The sequence below is a fragment of the Homo sapiens genome, chromosome 22, assembly GCF_000001405.40.
Source record: "Homo sapiens chromosome 22, GRCh38.p14 Primary Assembly".
NCBI classification, from domain to species: Eukaryota; Metazoa; Chordata; class Mammalia; order Primates; family Hominidae; genus Homo; species Homo sapiens.
In genome coordinates, this window is record NC_000022.11 from 44,840,028 (window position 1) to 44,857,451 (window position 17,424).

The following is a 17,424-nucleotide window of genomic DNA, read 5'->3' on the forward strand; positions in this document are numbered from 1 at the left end:
CCTGATGTTCCCACGGTAGCTGTGCTTCTTCCAGGGCAGCTCAGGGTTTCCAGCAAAAAGGTTCCCGAGATCACAGGTGGGAAGAGTCAGGCTCTTTAGGACAGGAGAGAAGGACCTGGCCCAGAAACTGAACAGTTGCTTCTGTCAAATTCTGTTGATCCACACAGGGTCCTTGGGGACCTGTGGCTGCTGTCACAGTGGCTTAAAGTAACACATATTTATTTTCTTGCGATTCTGGAGGTCACAAGTCCTGAAATCAGGATCTCGGCAGGGCTGCATTTTTTCTGGAGGTTCTGGGGGGTATCTGTTTCTCTTCTAGTTTCCAGAGGCGCCTATGCTCCTTGGCTCCCAGCCCTCCCTCCCATCTTTTTCACAGCACACCACTCTGGCCCAGCTTCCCTTGTTACATCCCCTCTCCCTTCTGCTCACTAGATCCTCTGCAAGGGTCTTTGTGATCCTGTCCGGTATCTTAGTCTATTCCGGTTGCTATGACAAAGTACCATAAACAGAGTGGTTTATAAACAACGGAAATTTACTTCTCATAGAGCTGGAGGCTCTATGAGTCTAAGATCAAGGTGCCACCAGATTCGGGCAAGTAACTGTAGCTCGCTGGGCCCGTTTGTTCAGCTGTGACGTGGACCGCCTCTGTGTGGCCTGGTTGGAATGATTTTTGTCAGTGCCGTTGGCTCACAGCTCAACGAAGCCGGCACATCCCTTTTCGTGATGAGGATTCGGTGTAGGATGAGGACCTGCTTCCTGGTTCATAGATGGTGCCTCCCGGCCGCGTCCTCGCGTGGAGAAAGGGGAAGCTCCCTGGGGTCGCTTTTAAAAGAGCACTCTGTCTGCCTGGAGTGTCTGAGGTGAGCCAGGCCTTTGGGGAGGTCTGGCTGGGAAGGGGCTTGTGGCCGGATAAGCGCCTCACTGAGTACCTGGTGAGTACCTGCCGTGCCAGGCACTGCCAGCTCCATGGCCCCAAAACTTGGCTCTGCAGGCCTCATACATGCAGGGCTGCCTTTCAGGGGAGTCCCGTTTACATTTATTGGCCCCATAGAGAGCAAGGAGGAAGCGTGTGTGCCTGCCTGGCAGGGTGGAATCTGCCGTGGCCCTCGTAGGGAACGGGGGAGGGAAGATGCCAAGCACTGATCCAAGTCAACGTTAAGATTCAGGTACGCGTCATGGCCAAGAATCTGAGTAAAGTTTCCATGTATTTTTTCTTTTTTAGAATTGTTAAGTCTCTGTGCGAGCGTGATTTGCCGATTGTACTGTAACAAGTCACATAGACTGCATGTTTTCTGCGTGCTGGGGTCCATTCTCATTTAATTCTCACCCGCCTGCCCACCCTGGGAGGCAGGTGCTAGTATCCCGCCCATGTGACAGGAGAGGAAGTAGAAGCAGAGGTGTCGAGTAGCTCTCACGCCTGCTCCCTGCCTTCCAAGTGCACTCCTAGCTCCACGTGGCCAAATCCAACTTCCTTTTTGGGGTATCCCTAAAATGCCTCCTCTGCGGTACCGGACTGCGCTCAGGGTATCTCTCTTCCTGTGCACACCAGTCAGCTTTTGCTAATTATGCTGCATAACAGTCTCACTGGGCTGCAACATGTTTCTTTCTCGCTAAGGTTGGGAGGTAGACAGGCCAGCAGGGGCTCGGCCCACCTCCATGTACCTGCATTTTGGTACCGGGCTGAAGAAGTAGCCTCTTGACATGCCATTCTCAGGGTGGGGACTGGAATAAGAGTGGCCACGCCAAACTACGCTGTCTCCTTGGACGTGGTATATGTTGTGTCTGCTCACGTCCCACAGCAGGGCACATGGCCCAGCCCAGAGTCAGTGGGGCAGGGAGGTGACTGCCCTCCAGGAAATGAAGGTGACACAGAGAGGAAGGGGACGCTTGTTGACGGCACCACAGTCTACTCCCGTGTGGCTCCTGATCAGCACCAGGTGCGGGGAGCACTGCCAAAATCTGCTTCTCATCCTCCCCCAAGTATGTACTGTTTGCTGGGTCTCAGGCCCTGTGTTGGACACTTGATTTGAAGGGTTAAAACCAGGCACAGGCTTAGCGCAGTGGCTCATGCCTATAATCCCAGCACTTTGGGAGGCTGGGGCGGGCGGATCACATGGTCAAGAGATAGAGATCATCCTGGCCAACATGGTGAAACCCCGTCTCTACTAAAAATACAAAAATTAGCTGGGCATGGTGGTGCGTGCCTGTAGTCCCAGCTACTCGGGAGGCTGAGGCAGGAGAATTGCTTCAACTCAGGAGGTGGAGGTTGCAGTGAGCAGAGATTGCGCCACTGCACTCCAGCCTGGGGGACAGAGCGAGACTCCATCTCAAAACAAACAAACAAACAAACAAAAACAGCACAGGTCTTGCATACACATCCCCAGTCATTTCCTTGGGATGAATTCCTAGACATAGATTCACTGGATCAAACAGTGTGACTGTTTGTAAGGTTTTTGGTTGTCGTGGAATCACCCTCCAGAAAGGTCACGTGCTTTGTAGAGCCTGAAGCCGGGGGTCACAGGCAGACCTCAGTGGCTCAGGCAGGTGGGGCTGGTGGCGAGAGGAAAGTCCCTCATCCTAACACTCACTCACGTGCAATGTGCAAACATAGCTGATGCGTCAGCTGGAGGTGAGGGCCAGCTGGCACTGGCAGGCAGGAGCCCAGCCTGGCTTCCTTGGGGGCCACCAGGGGTGACATAGACCCTCAGAGCCAGGGCTGAGCATCAGGAGGTTGGCAGGGCCTGGGGGACGCCAGGAGCTCTCTTGCAACAAGAGAGAAAAGCAGCATCTTAGAGTTGTCTCAGTGCAAAGGCTCACATCACAGTCAGCCCCAGCAAGGCCAGGGAGACCCAGTCGAATACTTTGACCCCAGGTGGGCCTGTGTTTGTCTTTGTGTGTGTCCAGCATTGTGTTCTGTTTTGATGAGAATGTATGCCATGGGCTACGTTTTCATTTTCATCTTGGTGAAGGTTTACGTTGTTGATGACCTGTGGACTCTAAGGATCAGGGAGAGGACCCTGCATCCAGAGGTGGGCAGTTGGAATGTAAACCCCTCACGAGGCCAGCTGTGGACAGGCACGGAAGCCTTTCTCTCTCTGGACCCCTTTTCCTTATCCATGAAGTGGGTAACAGTAGCCTGCCTTGCCCACCACATTATTTCCAGTGAAACAATGCATTTTGCAAGCGGTAAAGCTGTGTATTTCAGAAATAAATGCCCAGTAAAAACTCTTTCAGATAAACCAAAGCTGAGAGAATGTATTTTCAGCAGAACTACACTATAAGAAATGTTAAGGGAAGCTCTGCAGAACAAAGAAATAGAATGCCAAATAGAAATTGGGATCCTCACAAAGGAATGAAGCATGCTGAAAATGGCAAATATGTGTAAATAGAAAATAAATAGATTTTCTCATTTTTAAGAATATCTTTGAAAGTAGATTGACTGTTTAAATAAAAATAATAAAGTAGTATGAGGCTTAAAACATGTTAGAGTACTGGATAATGTATTATATTATAAAGACAGGCCTGGCCCAGTGGCTCATGCCTGTAATCCCAGGACTTTGGGAGGCCAAGGCAGGTGGATTGCTTGAGCTCAGGAGTTCAAGACCAGCCTGGACAACATGACAAAACCCTGTCTCTACAAAAAATTAACTGGCATGGCATGGTGGCACATGCCTGTAGCCCCAGCTACTTGGGAGGCTAAGGTGAAAGTATTGCTTGAGCCCAGGAGGTCAAGGCTGCAGCTAGCCAAGATCACACCGCTGTACTCCAACCTGGGCAACAGGGTAAGACCTTGTCTCAAAAAAAAAAAAAAAAAAAAGGATGGGATATGAGACTTATACTATAAGTAGAATGGTATAATATCATTTGAAATAGACTGTATTACATTAAATATGTATAATGTAAAACTAGGGTCACTACAAATAAAAAGATACAGCATATATACATAGAGAGAAGAGGGAGAGAGTTGAAGTCTTGCTCTGTCATCCACACTTGGAGTGCAGTGGTGCGATCTTGGCTCCCTGCAACTTCCGCCTCCTGGGTTCAAGTGATTCTCCTGCCTCAGCCTCCAGAGTAGCTGGGATTACAGGCATGCATCACCACGCCTGGCTAATTTTTGCATTTTTAGTAGAGACGGGGTTTCACCATGTTGGCCAGGCTAGGCTTGAACTCCTGACCTCGTGGTCTGTCCACTTTGGCCTCCCAAAGTGCTGGAATTACAGGCGTGAGCTACTGTGCCCGGCCACATCTAATATATTAATAGAGGGATAAAATGAAGTCCTAAAAAATAATTAGCCAGCAAAATAAAGTCAAGAAAAGAGGAAAAAGGAACAGATAACAAATAGTAGATTCAAACCTAGCCATATTGATAATTACATTAAGTCTAAGTGGCCTAAACATTCCAATTAAAAGACAGAGATTCTCAGATTGGATTTTATTTTATTTTATTTTTTTTGAGATGGAGTCTCCCTCTATCACCCAGGCTGGAGTGCAGTGGCACAATCTCAGCTCACTGCAACCTCCACCTCATGGGTTCAAGTGAGTCCCCTGCCTCAGCCTGGAGAGTAGCTGAGATTACAGGTGTACACGATCACATCCAGCTAATTTTTGTATTTTTAGTAGAGACAGGGTTTCACCATGTTGGCAAGGCTACTCTTGAACTCCTGGGCTCAAGTGATCCGCCTGCCTTGGCCTCCCAAACTGCTGGGATTACAGGTGTGTGCCACCGCACCTGGCCAACATTTCTTTATGTGAATCTCTGTCTCAAAATAGTAAAGTAAGAGACAGGTTAACCCAGATAACATACTGAGTTTTTTAATTGAATCAATATCCAGTCCAGGGCTTCTTATTCTGCCCTCACAGCCAAGCCATCTCATACCACTGGGACTTCCCAGTATGGCTTCCCTGTCTAGAATGCCCTTCTCTCTTTTGTCCTCTGGCAGGCTCCTACTCATCCCTCAAAACCCAGCTCTGAAGTTGCCCCCTGGGGAAGCCCTCCCCAAACCCCATGTCTTCCCTGTATCATAAATATCCCTTTCATGGAGTTCTCAAATACTGCACTATCATTTTATTATTTGGTCTTCAGACTTTCTACTTCCTGAGGGCTGAGCCTACCTCTCTCTTCCTGGACAGTGCCTGGGTCCTGTGTTTTCACAGGGGTGTGGAGAGGACCAGCGCCTCTTCTCATTGTGATCACCCATCAAGCTCAGGTAAAAACTGCGACTTTCTTTTCTGTTTTCTCAGCCTCAAAGACAAAAATCAAGGCGAACTCATCCCCCCTGTGCTGAGGTTCACAGTGACGTACCTGAGAGAGAAAGGTGAGACGGGGCCGGCTCCAGCTGGATGACGTGAGGGCTGCTGGGTGCACCTCTCTGGGTGGTTTGTCTTGGATCCTGAGCACCCACAAGCCAGGGGGTGTGACCAGGAAGGGAGGGGCTCAAGCACAGTGGCTCCAGGTCTGGGCTCTGGCCTCGGATGGTCTGGGTTTGAATCCTGTCTCCCCTGTGTACTAGCTGTGTGACCTGGGGCAGTTACCCTCTCTGGGCCTCCATTCCCTTGTCTGTCCAGTGGGGTTAATAACAAACCGTACATGACTTGTAGGATTGTTGTAACCCCTAAACGAGACAGTGCCTGCAAAGCACTTCGGGCAGTGCTGGTCTGTAGGAAGCCCTCTCGAAATGGGGACTCCTCTGATGGGATCAACTTTGATTTGCAGATACCATTGCCAGTAGGGTGGGTGCAGTCAAGAACTTGGAGTGGGGTGAGCCTTGTGGGCTCTCCACAGCTCCTGAGGCTAGAACTGAGGTCCATGGAGAAGGTGCGTGGAGGCTGCTTTTACCTTAATGGGAGGAAAGAGGTTCCCACGGAGGAGCAGGCACCAGGGAGGCTTTCCTGGCACCACAGCTGCAGGTGTGCTAGGTGGGCCGGGTGGTCTCCAGCCTGGGTGCTGCAGCGCAGATGCGTGGGTGTCAGACAAGAAGTGAGTGCCCCCCCCCATCCCCACCACCAAGGCAGGGCTGGCTCCTCTCCAGCCTCCAGAGCTCGGCTCAACAGTTGCTTCCTCAGGGAATCCCCCTAACATGGCCAGACCCCCTAAAGCAGACCCCAGCTCTGCCCACGGACTCAGCACCGTGGGCCCCGAGACCCCGCCACCGTGTGGTCCCTTGGCTGCTGCCGTTTCTCACATTTCCATCTGGCGGGGAGTTCCCATGCAATAGCTCTTAAAGCCACCGCCTCAGCCCTGCACCTTTCTGGTTACGAGTGGGTTGATTTCCTCTTTGGAGCAGGCCAGGTGGGTGGTCTTGGAAAAACCTGCTTTAGACAGGCGGGGCCTGGAGAGCCCCTCCTCACTTGTAGGCCAGGGTGCCCAGGAAATGTGCTTTGGCACGAGAGTCCATGCACATGGGGGTGGCATCAGTGAGCAGATGTGCTGGGCGGGGGCCTGGGAGACCATCTCCCTCAAACCCCAGACCCTGCGGCCCCAGCATTTCCCTCAGTCACGATGCTCAGCTGGCAGGTGAGCAGGTACGGGGGGCACCCCACACTGGGACCCCAAGAGGCCTGCCTGTCCCCGGCCTGGACTGCCCCTCCTTGCCCTCTACCGGTTAGGTCCTGCTTTCCGGAAGCCCTCTCCAATTCTGCCCCTCTCCCAGGCAGAACTGCCTTCTTCACGCCTCCCCATCATTCACTCATTCACTTGGGAGGCATTCGCTACGTGCCTCCCTCGTGCCAGACTCTGGGGATATCAAAGTGAGCACACGGGATGGGGAAGCAGCAGCTATTCCACCGAGAGCTGCCCAGATGCTGACTTCCATCAGGGAGAAGGCCCTGCCAGACCGGGGTCCCTGTTAGGGGGGTTGACCTTGTTGGGGGGCTTCCCTGAGGGAGGGGCAGTGGAGCTGAGCTCTGAGGACGGGGAGAAGCTGGCCATGCCGTGTGACAGAAAGGCCCCAGAGAGGAGAGCAGGTGAAGGGGCTCGTGGCTGTGGGAGTGCGGGAGCGTGCGGGGCTTCGAGGAAGTTGGGAGGAGAAGGGGAGGTCAGGCCTTGCAAGTCCCAAGAAGACTTGCACCTCCAGATGCCTGCGCCACAGTCCTAGGTCCTGGTGTTCCGGGGCACCCCCATCATGCACCGCAGGCCCCCCAAGGGCAGGCTCAGGCCTGTTTCTCTTTCTGGCTCTGAAGCCAGCAGGGGCCTGGCCAGAGGGAGCCCTTCCCTCTACCCCACAGCTGCTTTCATGAGCCAATTACAAGCACTGAAAATGCTCTTTATAAACTGACAATGGAGACAAGTTTTCTTCTTTGATTACAATCACCTCTTTAGCAGAATTGCCCAACTGAACTTGGACATCATCTATATCTTCACTGTCTAAACAGCAGCCACCAGCCCCTGTGGCAGTAGCTCAATAGGGCAGTTCATATGAGGCTCATGCAATTGAGTGACTAGATTTCTAATTTTATTTAATTTTAATTAAAGTTAAATCCCCATGTGCAGCTACTGGCTGCTGTGCTGGACAGCTCAGCCCTAGCTCTTGTGGGAAGTCACGTGTCTGGACGTCTCCCAGGTGCCAGGCACTTGCTGGGCATCACCGTGTCCAGTCCTCTCTGCAGCCCTTGGAGACAGGAGCTCATGGCCTTATTCTGTAGATAAACAAGGCAGATAGGCTCAGAGAGGCCGAGAGCTTTCTCTGAGGTCACACAGCTGGTAGGCAGAGCTGGACTAGAGCCTAGGTCTGTCTGAGATTAGAGTCTATTTCCGCTTTCCCTTTCCATGGACCACAGAGGTGGGAAATCGGGTGGGTTGGGGAATATGGAAAGGATTTGAGGAACAAATAAATGTGTGGAGGCCAGCCACAGGTGGGTGATGCCGTGGGCAGGGGAGTGTCATATAATGTCCTGGAAGCCCTTTGGGCTGGGACCTGTGAGATGCCTGGAAGCTCCTCTCCTGCAGGCCTGCGCACCGAGGGCCTGTTCCGGAGATCCGCCAGCGTGCAGACCGTCCGCGAGATCCAGAGGCTCTACAACCAAGGTGAGGGTGTCCCGCAGTCCTGAGCCCCGAGCTGCCTGGTCAGCGAGCACAGCGCTCCGGGGCCTCAGAGCGGAGGCAGGGAAGCACCGCCCCCGCAACCCACCCAACTCCCAGAAAACACTCAGGGTGGGGGCAGCTTCCCAGGAGGCATCGAGGGGCCCACTGGTAGTCCAGAGTGGGGACCTTTTGTCCAGACCCCCAACCCCACTGGGACATGGTGGCCGCATGATGCCATTTTGCCTTTAGGGTCTCTCCATCCACACCACGTGGCACGTGCTTTCAGGAGACACCCTGCAGTGCAGGGAAGCTGGTTTTTTTTATCTGGCAGCTCCCCCGAATTGGCTCAGCACGGCTTCCTTAACTGCCATGTGTAACCCGCAGGCAGGGGCAGTGGCCTCTGAGCTGAGGATGCATTGCACTGACGCTAATGAAGGCGCTGTCTTGCTGACAAGACTTGCCCTCGCTCCCACTCGCTCCCGTCATCAGTTGTGCATTACACAATCATGGAGCATCAGGTCTGCACGGGGCCCAGCTCAGGCCTGCCTGTCTCAGGCCCAGGGCCTGCGGTGTCATCTCTGCCACAGACCTGGCCTCAGAGAGCTGGCATTGTAGCCGGGAGCAACAGCATGCCACAGAGAAGCCAGCAGCCCACCCCAGTCCCCACTGGGAGCCCGGGAGGAGGCAGTTAGGGTAGTGTAGGGGCTGATGGGGCCAGAGCACACCCATTTCTAGGTGGGGACAGCATCATCCCTAGGACACATGGCTCCAGCATCAGGTGCGTCCCATCCGGACATCTCACGCCCTGTGTCTCAGAGCTCGTTCTGCAGCGGCAGTGCCCAGGCCGGGGTGCAGACCTCAGCAGTGCTGTGTTGTGTGTGCAGGGAAGCCCGTGAACTTTGACGACTACGGGGACATTCACATCCCTGCCGTGATCCTGAAGACCTTCCTGCGAGAGCTGCCCCAGCCGCTTCTGACCTTCCAGGCCTACGAGCAGATTCTCGGGATCACCTGTGCGTAGCTGCCCTGGCGCAGGGGTGGGGGGCTTGGTCCTCAGATGCTGTCCCCCAGCTACTGGCCCAGGGTCAGGCTCTGGGGTGGCCGAGGTGACGTGTACCCACCCTCCTCCTGTTGCCATCTGGCACTGCAGGGCAAGAGAGGGGGTTGTTGGGGCTGCCCCCACCATGCACAGCCAGTCCACACTGTCCAAAGGCAGAGGAGGTGGGGTCGGTCAGGGTTGTCCAGGCCGGTCTCTCAGGCACAGCTGGGCCAGGAGGCAGGGTGATGGGGGGCTCTCTAGATTTGGGGCTCATCATCCTGGTCAAAGTCCTGCCTGTAACCGCTCCCAGGCCCCAGACCCTCAGCTCTCTCATCTAGAAAGGGCTCTCGGCATTTCTCCCCAGATCATTGTAGGATGCCAAGCATATATCACAGGAACTGAGCAGCTATAGTGTCTGATCCTACAGGCGCTTTGTGATGGGTCAAATGCTCAGTGTGGCTGAGCACAGATGACTCGTAAAAAACTCCGTAACAGCATCTCAAAACACTGGTGAATGCTAAGGAAAGTGATGCCTCGAAAGAACCATAAAACCCCTCAGGCCTTCATCTAAGTCATCGAACACCGTCTTTTCAAATGGGACTACCTCCAGCGCCCTCCTTTCTTCTTGGAGCACTAACAGTCGAAGGGGGGAGCTGATTTTGGTGTGAATTCTGAAGCAGCTCGGTTAAGATATCGTAAAGACAAATCTTGAATCTTAAAATCAATGTTTCTACCCCACTGTGTATTCAAGAATCACATTTGCCCAAAGGGCAGCCTGGCCTTTGTCCTGGCCCCTGGGGGGTGACTTCTGAACCTTGCACTTTCCCAAGGGGCAGGAGTTACCTTTGTCACTCATCAGGGGCCCTGATGGTTTATGGTAACTCATGGTTATGGTGTGACTCAAGATAGGGGTGTAGGGGTGGCCATTCCAGAAAGACCAATTACATGGTTAGAGGGTGCGGGCTTTGAGTGATGTGAGACCAGCCTGACCTCTGGGGAGGGCATGGGGCTGGAGACTGATTTCAGTCTCAAGGCGTCCTGTCAAGGTCGCTGGACCCCAAACTCCCCTCAAAGGCAAATTTACACCCATTTACTCAGCAGTGCTCCTAAGCGCCTGCCAAATGCAACGCCCTTTCTGAGATGGGGAAGGTCTCTCCTACACCCTGGAAGACCATGAAAGATGTTGAGGGCTGACTGACTTTGGCTAGTGGATGGGAAGCCTGGGAGAGTTCAGAGCCAGGCTGAGCCTCATGGAGACAAATTTGATCATGCGCATAGAGGTACCTATCTGGTGGAGACAGAAGGAGGCACTACATTCAGCAGCATCCTACCAGCCGGGGCCAGAGCAGGCAAGATGGACAATGCTCCATCACCTGAATGCGCCAGGCTGTGTCCTAGAGAGAAGCTTCCAGAAGCCTCCCAACTTCATTAGCCCCTGCAGAGGGATGATGACTCCAGCCTCTGTAGGTTCCTGCTTGAGAAAACTCAATGCTGCCAGGCGAACTTACTGTTTGTTCCAGCCAAAACCTGGTGACAGGGAGATAGGCCCTGGAACCCCTCTTTGAGCAGCAGTTCCTTTAGAAAGCTTGCAATTGTGGGCCAGGCATGGTGGCTCACACCTGTAATCCCAGCACTTTGAGAGGCTGAGTTGGGTGGATCACTTGTCATAGGAGTTCAAGACCAGCCTGGTCAACATGGCAAAACCCTGTCTCTACTAAAATACAAAAATTAGCCAAGCGTGGTGGTGCACGCCTGTAATCCCAGCTACTCAGGAGGCTGAGGCAGGAGAATGACTTGAACCCAGGAGGCAGAGGTTGTAGTGAGCCAGGATCGTGCCATTGCACTGCAGCCTAGGTGACAGAACAAGACTCCATCTCAAAAAAAAAAAAAAAAAAAGCTTGCAATTATGAATCCTTTATCTGTCCTTTGAGATGAAAATCATCTACCACCCAGAGCTATGTCAAGGACCTGAGAGCCATCTCTTTGAAATGAAAACATTCAAAGTGCTACCTCTGCCTCCCAGTCCCCGGGGAGGGAAGGACCCAGCTCTGGCTTGCACCACTGCCTCCGGTCATAAAGATACCAGACATTTGTCCACTTCCGGATAGGCACCAATTAACAAACCTGGAGAGCGTAGTCATATTAAGCAACCCTCTGTTGGGAAGGAAAAAATCCTTTCCTGCTACCCGTCTTAGGTTCATTGGTGGGAACCCTGTAACTTGTTATTCTGACAAAAGACAGATTCACACGAGAAAAGCATGCCAGTTTATTTAATGTAAGTTTTACATGACACAGGAGCCTTTTAAATATTTATTTATTTATTTATTTATTTATTTAATTTTTGAGACAGTGTCTCGCTCTGTCGCCCAGGCTGGAGTGCCGTGGCATAATCTCGGCACACTGCAACCTCCACCTGACATGGGAACCTTTATGAAAATGAAGAAAATGAAGACCCAGGCTGGGCATGGTGGCTCATGCCTGTAATCCCAGCACTTTGGGAGGCCAAGGCAGAAAGATCACTTGAGTCCAAGAGTTTGAGTCCAAGAGTTTGAGTCCAGCCTGGGAAACATAGTGAGACCCCATCTCTACAAAAGATTTTAAAAATTGGCTGGGCTTGGTAGTGTATGCCTGTAGTCCCAGCTGCTCAGGAGGCTGAGGTGGGAGATCACCTGAGCCTGGGAGTTGGAGGCTACAGTGAGCCATGATCACACCACTGTACTCCAGCCTGGACAAAAGAGCAAGACCATGTCCCCAAAACAGAAGGAATGATGGAGGGAGGGAGGGAGGAAAGCAAGCAAGAAAGAAAAGAAATAAAGAAAATGGGCCGGGTGCAGTGGCTCACTCCTGTAAACTCAGCACTTCGGGAAGCCAAGGTGGGTGGATCACCTGAGGTCAGGAGTTTGAGATCAGCCTGGCCAACATGGTGAAACCCCGTCTCCACTAAAAATACAAAAATTAGCTGGGCGTGGTGGTGGACACCTGTAATCCTAGCTACTCAGGAGGCTGAGGCACGAGAACTGCTTTGAACCCAGGAGGCAGAGGTTGTAGTGAGCCGAGATCGCACTGCTGCACTCCAGCCTGGGCGACAGAGTGAGACTTTGTCAAAAAAAAAAAAAAAAAAAAAAAAAAAAGGAAGGGAGGAAGGAAGGTGAAGGAAGGTGAAGACATGGTTCAGCCCGAATGTTTTGATACTAGGTTTGGTGAAGAGTGGAAAGTCATGGAGCTTCAATTCCTTTTGTCATTCCGCCGTCTTTAGAGATAAGGCACCCTCTGGACATAGGGAAGACCCCCTCCCATTAGAAGGTTTTATGATCTGCTACACAGAAGTAGGGGGAGTCAGAGAGAGCCCTTCCCACACCTGCCTTTCTTAGATTCCTTCAGCTCAATAACATATTCAGCATGCCCAGGCTCCATATTTGGGACAGTAGTGTTCCGGACCCCAGCATTCCCCCATCTGGAACTTTCCCCAGGAAGTTTTACAGTCCAGAAACTGAGTTGGTAGATTGTCTCATGTTGCATGAATCCTTCTCTCAGTGCTGTGACTAGGTCACTCCAGGGAAAGAGTTGTGTCTCAATTCAGGAGGTAGCGGTGGAGGTGGGAGTAGGGTGACTACCTAAGTCAGCCTGTTAATAAGGGGCCTTTCTTTGTCAACAAACATGAAGTTCAGTGGTTTGAACAAACCATAAGTTCCGGGGATTTTTTTTATTTTGTTTTTTGTTTGTTTGTTTTGTTTTTGAGGTGAAGTCTCACTCTCACTCAGGCTGGAGTGCAGTGGCACGATCTCGGCTCAGTGCAACCTCCACCTCCCAGGTTCAAGCCTTTCTCCTGCCCCAGCCTGCCGAGTAGCTGGGACGACAGGCCCGTGTCACCACGCCTGGCTAATTTTTTGTATTTTTAGTAGAGACAGCATTTCACTGTGTCAGCCAGGATGGTCTCAATCTCCTGACCTTGTGATCCGCCCACCTCAGCCTCCCAAAGTGCTGGGATTACAGGCATGAGCCACCGTGTCCGGCCTAAACTCCATTTTTTTAGTCAGGAGAACATTTAGTTGAGAAGATTCCTAGATGTTGGCTTGAAGTATCCTTTCATGGTAGAGAGAGAGTGGCAGCAGCTGGCCAGTGAATTCCATAGTTTGCAATTTAGATGTCTTTGGTGATGGCACTGGGTGTTCCGGTGAACTTTCTGAGCAGACTGAGTAGGAGGCACAAGGACTATCCGTACATCATCTGCTGTGATTTCTCTGAAGTTTATATCAAGTCTTCCAGCGTCAGCTTTTGGGGCTTTGGGGAAATGGCAGGTTTTAGTTCTTTGTCATGCCAACTCAGGGGGTAGGAGAAAACTGGAAATGTTAGCTTGGAGCGTCGTAGCCAGATATTGGAGGAAAGGAGAGGAACTGAGAACCCGCAAGCGTGCGCCGTAGTTTTCCACGGGAGCATCATTTCTCTGTACCGTTGCTTCTCTCTTGATTCTCAGTTACAAAATAAGTCTGGTTTCATTAGAATTTGGCCTGATTATTTACATAAGGGCAGCAAGAATGGGAATTGACCTATGTCGGCTCTTTTTAAGTCTACCTTGCTAGAACTTTTAATAAGGAATCTCAGATTCACTTTTTAAAAGCCTCTTGAGGCTAGAAAGCCAAGTTAAAAATTTGCCATCAGGGCCAGCTGCGGTGGTTCACGCCTGTAATCCTAGCACTTTGGGAGACCAAGGCGGGTGGATCACCTGAGGTTGGGAGTTTGAGACCAGTCTGACCAACATGGAGAAATCCCATCTCTACTAAAAATACAGAATTAGCCAGGCATGGTGGCATGCACCTGTAATCCCAGCTACTCGGGAGGCTGAGGCAGGAGGATCGCTTGAACCCGGGAGGCAGAGGTTGCAGTGAGCTGAGATCTCACCATTGCACTCCAGCCTGGGACACAGCGAGACTCTGTCTCAAAAAAAAAAAAAAAAAAAAAAAAAAAAAAAAAAAAAACCATCAGACTTTGCCTGCAGTATCTGTAGATTTGAGAGAATTCCTCTCTTCTCAAGGTTCTCAATATATTTTAAGTTTCCTGGGCCTGCCAGGAAGCGGCCTTGCTTACTCACTGTAACGTCATACATAACACTGAATAAGGCTAGTTGTCATTTCAAGGAATTCCCCTTGTATCTTTTTTTTTTTTTTTTTGAGACGGAGTCTTGCTTTGTTGCCCAGGTTGGAGTGCAGTGGCCTGATCTTGGCTCATTACAACTTCTGCCTCCTGGGCTCAAGTGATCCATCTGCCTCAGCCTCCGGAGTAGCTGGGATTACAGGTGTGCGCCGCCACACCCAGCTAATTGTATTTTTAGTAGAGACGGGCTTCACCATGTTGCCCAGGCTAGTCTTGAACTCCTGACCTCAAATGATCCACCCACCTCAACCTCCTAAAGTGCTGGGATTATAGGCATGAGCCACCATGCCAGGCCCTTGTTATGCATTTTTAACCCTACTTCACTAGTAAGCCCAACTACATAAAGATGTATGCTTGGATTATACTTAATATGGGTAACTCAGAAGATGCAGCTGGTTTTTTTGTTTTGTTTTTGTGTTGAGATGGAGTCTCGCTCTGTTGCCCAGGCTGGAGTGCAATGGCACCATCTCAGCTCACTGCAACCTCTGGCTCCTGGGTTCAAGCAATTCTCCCACCTCAGCCTCCCGAGTAGCTGGGATTACAGGCACCGGCCATCTTGCCTGGCTGATTTTTGTATTGTTGTAGAGACGGGGTTTCACCATGTTGCCATGTTGGCCAGGCTTGTCTTGAGCTCCTGACCTCAGGTGATCTGCCCGCCTTGGCCTCCCGAAGTGCTGGGATTACAGGCGTGAGCCACCGTGCCCAACCTATACAGCTGTTTTTAATAAACTAACAATATCAGACTAATCTTGTCAGAGTTACTCAAGTCACAAGAACTTGAAAAGAATGTTTGGCTTAGTTTCTATATTTCTGAGAGCTTTAGAAATGTTTTATATAAATGCTCATGTATCTCTAAGCCAATTTGAATAGAACTCCTTTAAGGGATTTTATAAATTAACTTGGTAATACCATCAGAGGGAGAATAATTTCACGTATACATAACATACATGCGTAGACATAACATAGATCTGCAAAGAAAAAAAGAATTTTTTTTTAAGACAGGGTCTCCTTCTCCTTGACCTCTGGGCTCAAGCAATCCTCCCACCTCAGCCTCCCAAGTAGCTGAGGCATGCACTACCACACCCAGCTAATTTTTAAATATTTTTTTGTAAAGACAGGGTCTCACCATGTTGCCCAGGCTGGTTTCAAACTCCTGGGCTCAAGTGATCTCCCCACCTCAGCCTCCCAAAGTGCTGGGATGACAGGCATGAGCCACTATGCCTGGCCACAAACCAAGATCTTATAACTTTCATACATAGTTTCATACAAGTTAAGATTACCTGTTGAGGGTGAAAGTTGTTATCAGTATTTCAGGAGAAGGCCCTAAAGATTTTTTTCTTTGGCCAGTTTGTTTCCAAATAGTCCTTTTAACCTTGTTTTTTGTTTTGTTTTGTTTTGTTGTTTTTAACCAAAGGTGTACCTAATCCAATGTAACTCGAAACCCATAAGACTTTTTGTGGCCATGGATACAAGAGATGTTCTCAGAGTCCCCCAGGATCCAAAGTTACCCCACAGATAGCCAAAAGAAAGACAAGCGCCCTCAGAGCTGGTGATGGCTGGTAGGATGTCAGCTGTCGCCGAGTCTGTGTTGCTATGAAGAAATACCTGAGGCTGGGTAATTTATAAAGAAGTTTAATTGGCTCATGTTTCTGTAGGCTTTATAGGAAGCACGGTGTTGGCATCTGCTTGGCTTCCAGGGAGGCCTCAGGAAGCTTTCAATTATGACGGAGGGCAAAGGAGGAGCAGGTGTCTCACGCAGTGCGAGTGGGAGCAAGATGGGGTGAGGTCATGCCACACACTTAACCAGATCTCTTGAGAAATCACTCACTCTCATGAGAACAGCACCAAAGAGATGGTGCTAACCATTTATGAGAAATCTGTCCCCATGATTTAATCACCCGTCACCCATCCCCACCTCCCACATTGGGGATTACATTTCAATGTGAGGTTTACAGGCAACATCATCCAACATATCAGAGTGCAGCTCACATTACTGTCTGGCCAGCTATAAATTCCCTTTTTTTTTTTTTTTTTTTTTTTTTTTTTTTTTTTGAGACAAAGTCTCACTCTGTTGCCCAGGCCAGAGTGCAGTGGCTGAGATTCTCTACTCACTACAACCTCTGCCTCCCGGGTTCAAGTGATTGTCCTGCCTCAGGCTCCCAAGTATCTGGGATTACAGGCACCCGCCACCACGCCTGGCTAATTTTTGTATTTTTAGTAGAGACGGGGTTTCACCGTGTTGGCCAGGCTGGTCTTGAACTCCTGATCTCAGGTGATCCATCCGTCTCGGCCTTCCAAAGTGCTGGGATTAAAGGCGTGAGCCACCGCGCCCGGCCTGTAAATTCTTGGGGCTACATCCTGACCATTGGCTGTTCCCCCAGGCATTTGGAAGCCAAACTGGCCATAAAGGCAAGTTCTCAGGACACAAAACAAGACGAAAGGAGAATCGTATCCCATGATTCTCCTCTTCACAACAAAGGACCCAAGAGACAGAGACAAAGGCAAACAGTGACTCTTCCTGGGAGGCTGAAGATCACCGAGGACTCCTCGAGATCAGATGCGCTGAAGTCAAAACCAAAGAACCCATTCTTCCGAATGTGGCTCTGCTGGTCCAAATTCAGAAAGGAAGAAAACAAAGAGACTTTGACCACCCTCACACAGTCGCGCTGCAGACAGAAATCTGGGAGGCTGACTTGAGTAAGAATTCTTTTTTTTTTTTTGAGACGGAGTTTTGCTCTTGTCGCAAAGGCTGGAGTGCAATGGTGCAATCTCGGCTCACTGCAACCTCTGCCTCCCGGGTTCAAATGACTCTGTTGCCTCAGCCTCCCAAGTAGCTGGGATTACAGGTGCCCACCACCACACCCGGCTAATTTTGTATTTTTAGTAGAGATGGGGTTTCTGCATGTTGGTCAGGCTGGTCTCAAACTCCTGACCTCAGGTGATTCACCCACCTCGGCCTCTGAAAGTGCTGGTATTATAGGTGTGAGCCACCACGACCAGTCTTGAGTAAGAATTCTTTCTTTTGGCCGGCTCTACCAGGGGTCCTGGCTCTCTGTGCAGCTCCCAGACCAAGTGAGGTGTTCCAGCCAAGGGTACCTCATCCCCATGACTAGAAACTGCAGGGAGGGTCAAAATCTTTTCCTTCTCCCCATCTTAGGTTCCTTGGTGGGGGCCCTGTTGCTTGGACTAACAAAAGACAGATTCACAAGAGAAA

General features: G+C 50.8%; 2 protein-coding genes across 4 annotated transcripts in view, besides 1 other annotated feature; both read left to right on the forward strand.

Moving 5' to 3' along the window:
• The window catches only part of PRR5-ARHGAP8 (PRR5-ARHGAP8 readthrough), a 160,581-nt gene that overhangs the window by 137,824 nt on the left and 5,333 nt on the right, over positions 1-17,424 (forward strand). Inside the window, exons 11-13 of the mRNA NM_181334.6 lie at positions 5,242-5,315; positions 7,946-8,023; positions 8,905-9,033. Coding sequence (NP_851851.3) covers positions 5,242-5,315; positions 7,946-8,023; positions 8,905-9,033 — 281 coding nt within the window. The remainder of the gene's footprint in view (positions 1-5,241; positions 5,316-7,945; positions 8,024-8,904; positions 9,034-17,424) is intronic.
• ARHGAP8 (Rho GTPase activating protein 8) overlaps positions 1-17,424 on the forward strand; it is a 110,210-nt gene that overhangs the window by 87,453 nt on the left and 5,333 nt on the right. For all 3 annotated transcript variants that reach the window (NM_001017526.2, NM_181335.3, NM_001198726.2), the window contains 3 exons: positions 5,242-5,315; positions 7,946-8,023; positions 8,905-9,033. In NM_001017526.2, the coding sequence (NP_001017526.1) occupies positions 5,242-5,315; positions 7,946-8,023; positions 8,905-9,033 (281 nt within the window). The remainder of the gene's footprint in view (positions 1-5,241; positions 5,316-7,945; positions 8,024-8,904; positions 9,034-17,424) is intronic.
• Positions 1,812-2,509: an enhancer, noted in NCBI's record as "H3K27ac-H3K4me1 hESC enhancer chr22:45237719-45238416 (GRCh37/hg19 assembly coordinates)". NCBI's record gives its function as "activates a minimal SCP1, AML or CMV promoter by ChIP-STARR-seq in naive H9 embryonic stem cells {active_cell/tissue: H9 hESC(naive)}" and the evidence as "EXISTENCE:reporter gene assay evidence [ECO:0000049][PMID:30033119]".